The sequence below is a fragment of the Homo sapiens genome, chromosome 3 (assembly GCF_000001405.40).
Source record: "Homo sapiens chromosome 3, GRCh38.p14 Primary Assembly".
Taxonomy (NCBI): Eukaryota; Metazoa; Chordata; class Mammalia; order Primates; family Hominidae; genus Homo; species Homo sapiens.
The window spans coordinates 137,757,473-137,769,685 of NC_000003.12; the positions used below are offsets into that span (position 1 = coordinate 137,757,473).

General features: G+C 52.8%; 1 protein-coding gene across 1 annotated transcript, besides 10 other annotated features; it reads left to right on the forward strand.

Moving 5' to 3' along the window:
* Positions 5,938-7,269: a promoter, noted in NCBI's record as "PstI fragment from -1123 to +201 used in the 5'1300 CAT6 reporter construct". NCBI's record gives its function as "drives SOX14 transcription by reporter assays in HepG2 liver carcinoma cells {active_cell/tissue: HepG2}" and the evidence as "EXISTENCE:reporter gene assay evidence [ECO:0000049][PMID:15451172]".
* Positions 5,938-7,678: a biological region, named in NCBI's record as "SOX14 promoter region". NCBI's record gives its function as "regulatory_interactions: SOX14".
* Positions 6,067-6,872: an enhancer, noted in NCBI's record as "H3K27ac-H3K4me1 hESC enhancer chr3:137482381-137483186 (GRCh37/hg19 assembly coordinates)". NCBI's record gives its function as "activates a minimal SCP1, AML or CMV promoter by ChIP-STARR-seq in naive H9 embryonic stem cells {active_cell/tissue: H9 hESC(naive)}" and the evidence as "EXISTENCE:reporter gene assay evidence [ECO:0000049][PMID:30033119]".
* Positions 6,592-7,269: a promoter, noted in NCBI's record as "XbaI/PstI core promoter fragment from -470 to +201 used in the 5'700+CAT6 reporter construct". NCBI's record gives its function as "drives SOX14 transcription by reporter assays in HepG2 liver carcinoma cells {active_cell/tissue: HepG2}" and the evidence as "EXISTENCE:reporter gene assay evidence [ECO:0000049][PMID:15451172]".
* Positions 6,680-6,783: a protein binding site, noted in NCBI's record as "F23/R20 amplicon". NCBI's record gives its function as "binds NF-Y in HepG2 liver carcinoma cells {active_cell/tissue: HepG2}" and the evidence as "EXISTENCE:protein binding evidence [ECO:0000024][PMID:15451172]".
* Positions 6,727-6,733: a transcriptional cis regulatory region, noted in NCBI's record as "CCAAT box motif bases mutated in the 5'1300mut CAT6 reporter construct". NCBI's record gives its function as "necessary for full activity of the SOX14 promoter in HepG2 liver carcinoma cells {active_cell/tissue: HepG2}" and the evidence as "EXISTENCE:site-directed mutagenesis evidence [ECO:0005528][PMID:15451172]".
* On the forward strand, positions 6,843-8,862 carry SOX14 (SRY-box transcription factor 14). The gene has a single exon (NM_004189.4). It carries the CDS (start codon positions 7,313-7,315, stop codon positions 8,033-8,035), a length of 723 nt encoding a protein of 240 aa, NP_004180.1. The 5' UTR covers positions 6,843-7,312; the 3' UTR covers positions 8,036-8,862.
* Positions 6,873-7,678: an enhancer, noted in NCBI's record as "H3K27ac-H3K4me1 hESC enhancer chr3:137483187-137483992 (GRCh37/hg19 assembly coordinates)". NCBI's record gives its function as "activates a minimal SCP1, AML or CMV promoter by ChIP-STARR-seq in naive H9 embryonic stem cells {active_cell/tissue: H9 hESC(naive)}" and the evidence as "EXISTENCE:reporter gene assay evidence [ECO:0000049][PMID:30033119]".
* Positions 8,729-9,425: an enhancer, noted in NCBI's record as "OCT4-NANOG hESC enhancer chr3:137485043-137485739 (GRCh37/hg19 assembly coordinates)". NCBI's record gives its function as "activates a minimal SCP1, AML or CMV promoter by ChIP-STARR-seq in naive H9 embryonic stem cells {active_cell/tissue: H9 hESC(naive)}" and the evidence as "EXISTENCE:reporter gene assay evidence [ECO:0000049][PMID:30033119]".
* Positions 9,703-10,250: an enhancer, noted in NCBI's record as "OCT4-NANOG hESC enhancer chr3:137486017-137486564 (GRCh37/hg19 assembly coordinates)". NCBI's record gives its function as "activates a minimal SCP1, AML or CMV promoter by ChIP-STARR-seq in primed H9 embryonic stem cells {active_cell/tissue: H9 hESC(primed)}" and the evidence as "EXISTENCE:reporter gene assay evidence [ECO:0000049][PMID:30033119]".
* Positions 10,251-10,797: an enhancer, noted in NCBI's record as "OCT4-NANOG-H3K4me1 hESC enhancer chr3:137486565-137487111 (GRCh37/hg19 assembly coordinates)". NCBI's record gives its function as "activates a minimal SCP1, AML or CMV promoter by ChIP-STARR-seq in primed H9 embryonic stem cells {active_cell/tissue: H9 hESC(primed)}" and the evidence as "EXISTENCE:reporter gene assay evidence [ECO:0000049][PMID:30033119]".

The following is a 12,213-nucleotide window of genomic DNA, read 5'->3' on the forward strand; positions in this document are numbered from 1 at the left end:
CCTTGACTGGGTCTTGTTGCCAGCGTTTGGTCTTATCCTCTGCAGTGAATAATTTGTGATAAAACTGGCAAGATAATGTATGCTTCAATAACTTGGCCAATTGCATTAGGCAAACACAGAACCTTAAACAGTATTGTTTATGATAAAAGCTGACCAAGAATTCTTACATTAGAAGAATGGGGTTAGGGGAGCCCTAATGCATGAGAAACACCGGAATACAATAAAACTTGAGGCAGAGGCACACAATATTGACACTCTTTTGGCTTTTATTCATAGAAACAAAATGTGTCTTTCCTGATCTTATAACCACTGGGAATTTTTTTTTAATCTTAAGAAACCTCATTAGCAATAAGAAACCTCATATACAAATCCTATATTTCTCAGGCTGAGATATTCAAGATGCCTAAATGTGGACGCAGTTTCTCTGAAAAGGGTCGACTCAGAGGTTCAGGAGGGAAGTAGAACTCCACTTGGCAGGAAGTGGGAAAAGTAAGTCAGATGGGCAGTGGGCTGCTAATACCTATTGGGTATAGATGGATATATCCCTCCTTGTTTTATTCCTTGGCTTCCTAAGGGTACAGGAGACTGTAAGAGGAGTTCAAAGCATTTAGCAGGGTTTCCCTTGCTCTTTAAAGGATGGTCAGGCAGCTGATCCCAAGGCCAGTAAAAAACAATCAAACAAACAAACAAAAACCTGTCAATTTAAAAGTTTCTGTCCTATGGCTACAGGTGACATTCCTCCATAAGTAGAATGTCCAATAATCAATATTTCTTTGTATGTGATTGTTAAGATTATTGTGAAATAATTCTGGTGAGTCTTATTGTAATGATTTCTCAGTACATTTAGAATAAAACCCAAACCCCTTATGGAATTTACAAGACCCTGGATAATCTGGGCCCCACCAATCTCATCCACCTTTTCCTTATACTCTCCAGGGTCATGGCCAGGGTTCAGCCACACTGGCTCTTCAATTCCTTTGTGGCTTCAGCAGTTCTTCTCCAGGTAGTGGAGTTTCCTGCTCCTGCTGCCTGGAATGACCTCTACCCTGTGCCCTCTTCCTTCAGAAGGCTGGCTCTCCCCAGGTCCCTGACTGCCAATGCAAATCAGACCACCTTTCTTTGTCCACTCCATTTTCATCATCCTGATTTACTTCTTAGCACATACCACTATCGGAAGTTAACTGCTCATATTAAAAGACAAAATAATATTATCTGACCAATTATTGAGCAGTTTCTATATGTCCAGCACTATTCTAAGGATGTTTCTCATATTAAATCATTTTGTTCTGATAATAATTCTTTATATCTGTTTTACAGTTCAGGAAGTGAGGACACAGACAGGCTAAGCACCTTGCTTTAAGTGACACAACTACTTGGTGGTTGAGCCAGGAATCACCCCAGGAATTTGTTTCTTGTTTATTCTCTGTCCTCCCATTGGGCTGTAACAATCACTACTAGAGAAGGACTGTGGTAGGTCCTGTTTACTGCTGTGTCCCAGCACCTAGCACAATGCCTGGCACATAGTAGGTGTTCAATAAATAGCTGTTGAGATAATGAATGAGTAAGGAGATTTCAAAGCCTTATTCCTGCTCCCACCCCTTCCATTTTCTGGGAGATTAGCGTAGATGTTGTGCAAACTTCTATTAAATTTGTACTGAGGCCGGGCGCGGTGGCTCACGCCTGTAATCCCAGCACTTTGGGAGGCCGAGGCGGGCGGATCACGAGGTCAGGAGATCGAGACCATCCCGGCTAAAACGGTGAAACCCCGTCTCTACTAAAAATACAAAAAATTAGCCGGGCGTAGTGGCGGGCGCCTGTAGTCCCAGCTACTTGGGAGGCTGAGGCAGGAGAATGGCGTGAACCCGGGAGGCGGAGCTTGCAGTGAGCCGAGATCCCGCCACTGCACTCCAGCCTGGGCGACAGAGCGAGACTCCGTCTCAAAAAAAAAAAAAAAAAAAATTTGTACTGAGTTGGTGAGTCACATGAGCTCTGCTACAAACAGACTCAAACTACTCAAGTTAAGGCAGTTTGAAGCAAAAAAGTCTCCTTACCTGGGCGTGCTTGGGATGTTAAGACAGAAGTATCCTTCAGCCCAGCCCAGCACTGCTCTAACAGCTCCAGGATGCCAAACATGTACCCCTGGTTTTGCTCGGCTTCTCTTTGTTTCTTGGTGTAAGCGGTGCCCTCCTGTGCCATCTTGTCTGCAAGAGACAAGTGGGATTTTACAAAATTTCAAGATGCCGGCATGGGCTGGGCTGGGTTGGGTTCTGGAGGGAAAACCCCGGAGAAATTACCAAGAAATGTCTTAATAAGACCAGAGCTCTGGATCCTCTGGGCACTCTCTAGAGGCGGGATATATACAGTCTCTGAATTTTAAAATAGAAAACAGTGGGCAGCGGGGAACGGAGTAGAGGGAATCAGAGGTGCCAAACATTAAAGATATTTTGGGTAATAAAAATTAAAAGTTCATGTATCGCAAGGACAAAAAACCAAACGCCGCATGTTCTCATAGGTGGGAACTGAACAATGAGAACACTTCGACACAGGAAGGGGAACATCACACACCAGGGCCTGTCGTGGGGTGGGGGGAGGGGGGAGGGATAGCATTAGGCGATATACCTAATGTAAATGACGAGTTAATGGGTGCAGCACACCAACATGGCACATGTGTACATATGTAACAAACCTGCACGTTGTGCACAGGTACCCTAGAACTTAGAGTATAATAAAAAAATTAAAAGTTTATGATTTAAACAAAGATTCTTATTTCCTGGGATCATTTTGTCACCTCAGTGCTTGCTTCTGGGTTATGGACACTTGGGGGGGTGGGCCGGATTAACTGTCTTGTCTCTAAACACCTGGGTGCGCTGGCGCTCACTCTCAGCTGCGAGCTGAAGCCCACGCTGCTCTCAGGCTTCCCGCAACAGGCACCTGCGACTTCGCTCACCAAAATCTTCCAGTGGCCACAGTGAGCGGGCAGGACTGGTGCCAGCAAGCCCCAAGCATCCCAGGCCCTCTGGACGCAGGTGACTCTTCTGGCCTCTTTGGAAAGCCATTGGAGCTCGAGAGGCATAGCCAGCTGCCTCCTTTCCGTCCATCCCCAACCGCGTTCTCTAAGCCACGTTCTGTGCGCCTTACTCCCAGCACTCAGCCATTCCCCAGCCCCAGAGGCCTTGGAGTAGTGACCTCTGCCCACCAGAGAGGAGGGGGCCGGAGGGTGGGGCGGAGCCTTGTGGCAAGGCAGGTGGGTGCAGGCCTCTGGGGCCCCAGACTGCCGCGTCTGGCTCTACCAGGCTGTGTCTCGGGCCCCGTGCCTGCAGCTGCAAGGCGGGGAAAGACCTATCGGGAAGATCCACCTCGGCCTGGGCAGAAGGAAACTTTACTGAGAGTCTTCTCTGAGTTTGGAATTATGCGGAAATTGAACCCAAGATGAATAACACGCAGCCACAGCCCCAGAGAAGCTCGAAGTCTAGTGGGCTGCACCGACTGCGACAGGGACCCAAAAGAGGCTGGGGAACAGGGATTGAAATGGAAGTGTGAGAGTGAGAGCATAGAAGGGGTCCTAGCCCAGCCCAGGAAACAGAAAAGTCTCCCCATAGACAGTGAGAGGCTTGTACTGATACCTGAGGTACGCGCAGGAGCTGCGTGAAAGGAGAGGCCCAGAGCCAGAAAAGAGGAAGGCGCATCCTGGACGCTCTGCGCCCTGGAGGGAGACGAAAGGCCCGGAGAGAAGCAGATTAGGTCGGTGCCCTTAGAGGCCTCTTCCTTCACTTCCGGGAAACAGCGGCGGTTCCCTGACAAAATCCCTGTTGCTCGGGGGTTCGGACGCCTTGCTAAGGCTGGCACGCAGCGGACCTTGAGTAGCTGCGCTGTGTACTGAACGTGTGCACAGCTTCTCCAGGCAAATGTGCAAGCGGAAAGACCTCATCCAAGCGTTATCTCCAGCCCTGGAGGAGAATGAACTGGTAGCCTGGGGCCAAACTTCAGGCCGTGGACAAAGCAGGAGGAGTATTTAGGCAACCTCTGTCCTAATGCTTGTTCTGGTTGTGACCGAAGTTGCTGACTCTCCTCAGGGGTCACGTCTCCAGGACGTGCTACCCGGTGGTTTAGACCCGTCAGGGAGGCACAGCGTGAAGGGACAGCGCAGCGCAGTAGAGGCACCTGCTGGAGACAGCACCAGGCCAGACCCCAGGATCACGGGAACTCCTGCTCCCGCCACAGCTCTAAAGAGTGTTGAATAAACCGGTGGTCACCGGTACTGCGTAAGGGGTGTGCGTGGCTTTGCAGTTCGCCTAGGAGACAAGCTGATGCACGGCCTGGAAGGTGCAGCCCTCATCCCTGCGTTCCCTCCCCGCGCGGAGTTCCTGTCTCAAGGCCAAGACGCGCAGCGCTGATGCTGGCCCCTTCCTAGGTCAGTGCAGCTGGACCAGGCAATCGGGGTCTCCGAAACGTCGGGGGGTCAGCTGGCGCCCTGCCCACCATCGAACGCCCTTCGTATCACTCCGCTCCTCATTGCGAATTGGACTGCGCATTGGCTGCGACCCAAGGCTGAACACAAGAAGCTTGGAGAGGAGCTCGGGCGTTTGAGGAGAAGGAAATATGAGGAATTGCAGGAAGGCGCTCGCCTGCCCGAACTGCCTCCGGGCAACTGGAAAGGATTGTCCTGGAAACTGAGAGGAGAGAAAGGACGTAGGACCTTGTGCCAGATCCCCTTGCTGAGTAATTTCCAAGAGCTTGGTTTGCATTAACCCAGAACTTTGGGTGTGCGTTTGGTGTCCCCTGGGGGGTTCTAGAGTGAGAGATTGGCGGGTCCCCTCCGAACGCTGGATCTCGCTGCAGATATCAGTATTTCTCTCATTCCTTCCCAAAGCCGTCGGGATCGCCCAGTAGAATTAGAATTGGGTGATTCCTGAATCTCCTATCCCTGGCTGGCTCTGAATATAGCGCACCGCTGGTCAGACCTGAGTAGGGGTTGCCAGCGACGCTCGGAAACCCTTTCCAGACTGGGCTGAAAAGTGCGTTTGCTTCCTGAGACCCTAAGCTAAATGAAACTTCCTGCAGAGAAAGCAGGGTTACAGGGCTGGATGGAGGCTCTGGAGAAAGGCCAGAGCTGGGGTTGGGAAGGAATGTAAAGGCTGTGCACCTGTTTGCCAGCCCTCGGAGGTGGAGCCCATGGCTAAGCAAATCAAGCGCAGGATCAGTCTTTCCAGCGTGGTTTATCTGCATGGCAGGTGTCGATTGCCCCAATAGTCTCATCAGGTGTTCCACATTGGGCTGCAGAGCCATGAAATCCCTAGGCGTGACGTCTAGTGGAATGGGGGTGAAAATAGGGATTTTCAAATCCTATACATCAAGCATCACTCCCAGAGTCACTTTTGACAAATCACCTAGTTTTTCTCAACCTTAGTTTCCTAATCTGTAAAATGGGGATATTGCCCACCTCTCTGAAAAGTGCGCCAAGGGTGAGAAGTTCCACGCGTCTTTCTAATTTTAGGAAGGGGAAGCAAAGTCTTCTCCTCAAACTTGATACACTACATGCTAGAGAAAGATCCTCCCTTCCGGCCTCCTCATTCCCTGTCACCCTCCCCCACTCCTAGCCCCTCGGAGCCAACGGAGCCTTGCGCGTTTCTGGCCGGTCCTCCCAAGAGAGAATGGTGCAAAAGCCAATAAGCCTGGAACACACGCAGGTCCCGCCGGGCCTGGGACAATGGTTTCCATTTAATAAATATTTCCCCCAAGGGCATTTCACATCGGGCAGGCAATTATTCAAAGGAAACAGGCGCGCAGGTTGGCTCTGCGGGTTATTTCGTCCTCTTTACCCGAAGAATGCTCATTTGACGCAAGAAACGAGTCTCGCAGCCTCCCTGGGTGGGAAGAGGCGCCCAGGGACAAACCGACCCTGGTTGCGATACACCGTGAGACTCCGCTGTAGGGCCGCTGCAGAAGGGGCACCGGGAAGAGCCCCATACCCAGCCTCTAGGCTCTTCTTACGGTATGAACATTTGTGGAGTAAAAGTTGGAGGTTTAAAGACACTAAATAATAATAACATAAATGGGAACTGCAATAGAAATCTCAGCCCCATCCCTGCCCCAAAAGTGAAGAACAGGTCGTAGTGCTTTTAAGGGCTCACCAACTAGGGTTCGAAATCTCTGCATTGCCTGACGCGAGGCCTTCCAGGAGCAGGTCAGACAACATTGCTCAGCCACCCAGGGTCCCAGCGCTACGCCCGGGCGCCGCATCCTGGGGCAGGGGTGGATGCCTAGTTGCAGGGGCTTCCCGGGAGAACACTGCCAAAGCACCGCCGAGGGTGGGGCGCGAAAAGTTTATTTCGCTTTTACCCTGAGCCTGCTATATGTTATTTTTCTCTTCCAAGGATATTTGACAAGAGGGCAAAGTGCTGTCCTTGCATTTCGCGGCAAAGCTGTCCTATTTATCAACACAAGCTCTCGCCTCGCTCCCTTTGCTGTCCCTTCCCCGGCCTTTGTATTTCAAGCCCTAATTCTCTTTCACAACCGGGAAAGGAAACAGGAGACGCGGAAGAGTTTTATTTGTTGACAGTGCCCGAGACAATGTGGAACCGAAGTCCCCAGTCTAGAGCTAGCCTCTCTGCTCTAGCCCTCTCTCTGCCTCTGTCCCTCACACCTCTCCCCGCCCCCACCAGTCGCGCTCTCTGTTTCTTGCACCGGCGTGTTGGCAGGTGCGCCCCCTCGGCTTCTCTGCTGCTGATTGGCGCCCAGGTTGGGGAGTCGCCGCCCCGCGCTTATGTCAGAGTGCGTGCAGTCCCGGCCCACCTCGCCTTTGAACTTCGCCGCTTTTGGCTCTCGTTCACCAGCCTCCCCGCATTCTCAGCCAGGTGCAGCGCTAGGCGCGGCAGCTCCGGGAAAGCCACGGGAAGGGGGAGCCACGACTGGAAACGCAAGAGGAGAGAAGGGAACTAGAGAAGGCAAAGGTGGAGAGGGGGAGAAGGAGGAGCTTCTTGCCCTGGCTAAAAAATTACCTGGCCACTTAATCCCGGAGACTCCGATACTTGGGTCCCAGCCCCTGGTGCCTGAAGCCCCCCGGCCGATCGCCCTCTCCTCCCCCGCCCTTTCTGCCCCCACTCGCTCCCCCGGGGCTGCCTGGGCGCTGGGACTGGCATGATCAGCTGAACTTTGTGGGGTCAGCGCTTCTCTCTGGCTTCCCCTCAGCGGCGCCAAGGCGAGGGGAGCGCAGAACCCCGGCTCAGGACGGACAGACAGACGGCCAGCCGCGCCCAGGCTCGTCTGCAGAACCCTTGCACTCCCTACCCCCACCCACCTAGCCGCCGGGACCATGTCCAAACCTTCAGACCACATCAAGCGGCCCATGAACGCCTTCATGGTATGGTCCCGGGGCCAGCGGCGCAAGATGGCCCAGGAAAACCCCAAGATGCACAACTCGGAGATCAGCAAACGCCTAGGTGCCGAATGGAAGCTTCTGTCCGAGGCAGAGAAGCGGCCATACATCGATGAAGCCAAGCGGCTACGCGCCCAGCACATGAAGGAGCACCCTGACTACAAGTACCGACCTCGGCGCAAGCCCAAGAACCTGCTCAAGAAGGACAGGTATGTCTTCCCCTTGCCCTACCTGGGCGACACGGACCCGCTCAAGGCGGCTGGCCTGCCCGTGGGGGCCTCCGACGGCCTCCTGAGCGCGCCCGAGAAAGCCCGGGCCTTCTTGCCGCCGGCCTCGGCGCCCTACTCCCTGCTGGACCCCGCGCAGTTTAGCTCGAGCGCCATCCAGAAGATGGGCGAAGTGCCCCACACCTTGGCTACCGGCGCTCTGCCCTACGCGTCCACCCTGGGCTACCAGAACGGCGCCTTCGGCAGCCTCAGCTGCCCCAGCCAGCACACGCACACGCACCCGTCCCCCACCAACCCTGGCTACGTGGTGCCCTGTAACTGTACCGCCTGGTCTGCCTCCACCCTGCAGCCCCCCGTCGCCTACATCCTCTTCCCAGGCATGACCAAGACTGGCATAGACCCTTATTCGTCAGCCCACGCTACGGCCATGTAACCCCCAGCCCGGCCCGGACCTGAGGCGTGGTCTGAAAGCCGGGTCTGCACCCTGTCCTCTGAGCCTAGCCCCGGCCTGCAGACGCCTCCGGGGTCAGCCCTGCCGCTGTCCCTTACACCACCCAGACTTTTCCTCTCTCTTCCAGGGGGAAGGGTGGGGCGTCCTCCCGGACCCAAGGCGCAGACAGGTACCGGAAACTTGCAAACGTTATGTCAGCTACACAGCTGCCCCTATCCCGACTCTCCCAAAACAAATCTCCGACTGTACCCCCTTTGGACAAAAAAGTAGGCAGTTTTGCTTTATTTATATCCCCTTCACTCTCCTCGGATAGGCTTTGGACTCTGAACTCCCAGATTCTGATATTATATCTACAATATGCATATATTTTTTCCTTTTGTCCCCTGAAGAAAAGAGTTAGCTGTGTCTCTGTGTTTTGCCATCAGACACAACTAGGAGCCATTTGCTCTTCATGTATGGGGGGGAAAGGCTTCAAAGTTTTAAATTACAGAAAGGGAAACATTTCTATTTAAAACCATGCTATGATAGTGTTTGCTTCTTTAAAGGGAAAACAAAAAGGACCTACATGGTTATTTACTTTGTGTAAAGCAGTGCTTCTAGAGATCTAAGTTTACTTTTAGACAGAATGTCGGGTTATGAAGTCAGGAAGTAGAAGGTGAACAAAAAATTAAAAGAACAAAAACAACCTAAATGGTCATAAATGTTTTGACGATGTCTTGGAAATGTACCTAGAAGGATTTTACCTCGTTGCTCTGTTCATTTGTTGAACAAAGACGTTTTGAATAAAGACAATCTGTCATTGTAAAAAAGTAACCTTTGATGTGCCTAAAATCTGAAGTCAGGAGCCAGGTTGGAGGGACTGGAAAGTCGGGTGCGGGGAGGCTGAAAGTGCATAGAGCGACTTTAAGCAGTGATGGCTGGTGGCTGCCCCCCGTTGGCCCAGCTTGGTGGTCTGCGGGTTGGGTGTAGAAGGGCCTAGAGCTTCGGATCCGTCCGGAATGCGCCCTGGAGATTGCTTTTTGCCTTTAGAGGCTAGACAAAGGTATCGTTCCCTGGGACTTCACTCTCTCCTCCCATTCTTCCCAAAAGGGTCAGGCCACTTCAAGGAATGAATGAACTAAGTCAAAGGCCGACCCAGACCGCTGAGATCTGGGTGAGTTTACTTTTTAAAAAACCAAACGCTGAAGGAGCAGGGAGAAGCACCGAGTCTCCTGGGAACCAGTTGCGCGCTGAACACCCCGTCCTGCATTGGATGTTTAAGTTCAAAGCATGGGAGAAGACTGGGGGAATCAGGTATTCTGCCTTTTTAGGTGTTTGGAAAGGCTGCTGCCCACTCTTCTGGGGATTTGGTGCTTGATACTGGTTCCTAAGTTAAAAAATAAAACTCTAAGAAATGCAGAAAAATGTGCCATAGGTCCCTGCCCCAGAATGTCGAACACTTTTTGCTGAGACCCTGCAGGAGCAAAGGGAAAAGGAAGGCGACATTGTCATGGCTCAGGCAAGGAGTTTTTAAAAATCGTAAAAAATCAAATAAAAGCACAGCCCATGACGTTAAACAAGGAAAAGAGTCCTTTTCTTTCCCCTCCGGGTGAATGTTTTCTTGAAGATTATTGTCTTTCCTGAGAAAGGACCCTCCGATGTTATCCAGCAAAACTCTTTGGAATTTGTTCTCAAAATCGAAGGGTGCTTTCCACCCTTGGTCTTGGAGTCTCACCCCAAAAGCCGCGCTCACGCGTGGTTTTCCTTAATTTGCGTGCTTTTCCCACTGGCTTTGATATGCTGTGGGGTGGGAGGTGGGGCAGCCTAGAGGTTTGTGGGCTTTCTGCTGCTGTTGAGAGATTTGTACGCTTGCCTCCGCTGTTTCCAAAGGAGTCGGTGGCTCGAAGTGCACGGGAAACGTTGTCAACAGACACCAAAGCCGAAACCCGCGGATTAGCATATTGTCCTCAAAACAATTAGAAGTGTTTGAGGTGTTATTTGGAGCCTATTCATCCGAGCCCCTTTGTCAAAGGGGGATTTTCATTATTAAAAAAAAAAAAAAGTTAGCAGTTGTCCATCTGGCTAAGCTGAATAGCAAAGTGATCCATGTTGTATATGCTTTTCTCATTAAGAGCTCTTTTGAGACCGATGTTAGAATTAAATGGTATAACACAATTAACATACACGGGCGCTGAATAGGAGAGGACGCCTATAAATAATAGATAGATAAATAAATGAGCGATCAGGCGAAGGTAAACAAAGGCGGGCTGAGGGAGGTGTAGGGGGAGTCCGGGCTGGCTGCGCCACGCTTACTTAGCATTACAAAACCCTTTTACAAATCGAGACAATTAGGAAGTGACTTGCCTCTGGTGGCCGTCCGGTCTGGGGGCCTGGGCGCTTAGGGAAGGCCCCTCCTCCCGCCCCCTAGGAAGCCCAGGAGGCCTGGGACGGAGACGCCACGGTTTTCCTGTCTGATATAACCCCAACTGACAGTCCTGTCAGCCGCTCTGATAGCTCCCATAGCTCAGTGTCCCTTAATATCTCCTAAGATGAAGCTTACAGGGCTCTGGGTATCTCCTCGCAGATCCCAGCGCAGGAGCGCCCTGGGCACACAGAGCCCCCCAGCTGGAGAAAGAACCTGGCGCCCACGACCCCACCTGAAGCAAACCTGAAGGGTTAGGCTGGAAAGGGGCACGTGGCGAGTGCGAGGGCAAAGTGCGAGGGGCAAAGGCCTCGGACGGTGGCTGAAGCTGGAAAACCGAAACCAGGGTTCCGGGTTGCGCTTGGTCTTAGGCTCAGATGGGGAATTAGGAAACTAGGGTGCGCTGTAGAAGAGAGGCGCTCAGGGGGCTGCGGCCTCACTCAGAGGTGGCTGAGACCTCTTTCCAGCCTGCAAAGAGCCGGGGGCCCAGTTCGGGTCCTGAGACCTAAAGTCAAAGACTTGGCTCGGGCGGTTTTTGGCCATCACACTTCGTTTCCTTCCTTCTCAGACTGGCCTTCCCCAGCCATCTGCCCTCCTTAGACCTGGTCCCAACCTCTGCCCCCACCCCCATCCCCGCAAGAGCCTGCCTCAGCTTTGCCTCCGTCGCCCCGAGGGCTGCGGAGCGTCCGCCGAGGTGCGCGGCCGCGACTCGCCCTAACAAACAGCCAAAATCCTGCTCGTCACGCCGCTGACAGGGGCCGATTACTGACTTTGAAGTCAGGCGCAGACAAAAAGAAATCCCCTGGGGGGTGTGGGGGGGCAGCAGTCCCTGTCAAACCTGTTTGCTCACAACTGTCTCTTTCTTTCAAGAAAATCATTAAAGCAAACCTGTAGGGAGAGGAGCGCCCCGCCCGCCCGGAGTGGAGAAGAGCCGCTTCTCCCGAGCGCGCGTCGCGCAGCAAAGAGCAGCCAAGAGTTGCCCTGGACAGACTCCTGGCATCCGGAGAACCTGAACTCCGGCGCTGCAAGGGGCGCCCGTGGCCCTGCAGGAGGAGGTTCTGCAGATCCCTCTGCGTTAGGCACGCGTCCGGTAGCCAGGGAGCCCCAGACTTCTCTCGCTTAGCAACCTGGGCCTCCTTCGAGCGGGGTTGGCAGGGAGGGCCCGGACCTCTCGCCTGAGGCTCCCATTGCTTCCCCGGGACCCTTCTCCCCGCCAAAAGTGACCCAAATACATGCCGCGTTCAGCGCCGTCGCTCCTCTGCTGGGTGTTCCCTAGGACAGCAGAGACCTGAACAGCATGCTGCTGGGGTGGCAGCCATCTGCGCCGGCGCGGCAGGAGCAGAGTTGTTTGGGTTTTACCTAGGTTTGCTTTCTTAAACCTTGGCTGCCATCTGGCTCAGGGGTACACTGGCTACATCTTCAGAGAGATGTGGAATTCTTGACCCCTTTCCGCCTCTGGCCTCCCTCATTCCGAGAACTCCGTCAGCCTTTCATGCACTTCTCGGTTTTGGATCTGACTCCAAAAATCTTTGATTCCCTTCCAGTTTCCGAGTTTTTCTATTTAAATATTAATTTCCTTAGGCCCGATGACTTTAAAGACGGAAAAGACCAGCTACTTTGAGTAAATTACGCTGAGGTGTGAGTGACTGACATCTGAGACCCCCTGAACGTTTGCATTTTGGAACTGGAGCGAGCTAACCTGTAGGAATCTCCGGTGAACCAAAGCGGGATGATGTTTCCGTCTGAGTAGGGCCAAGGT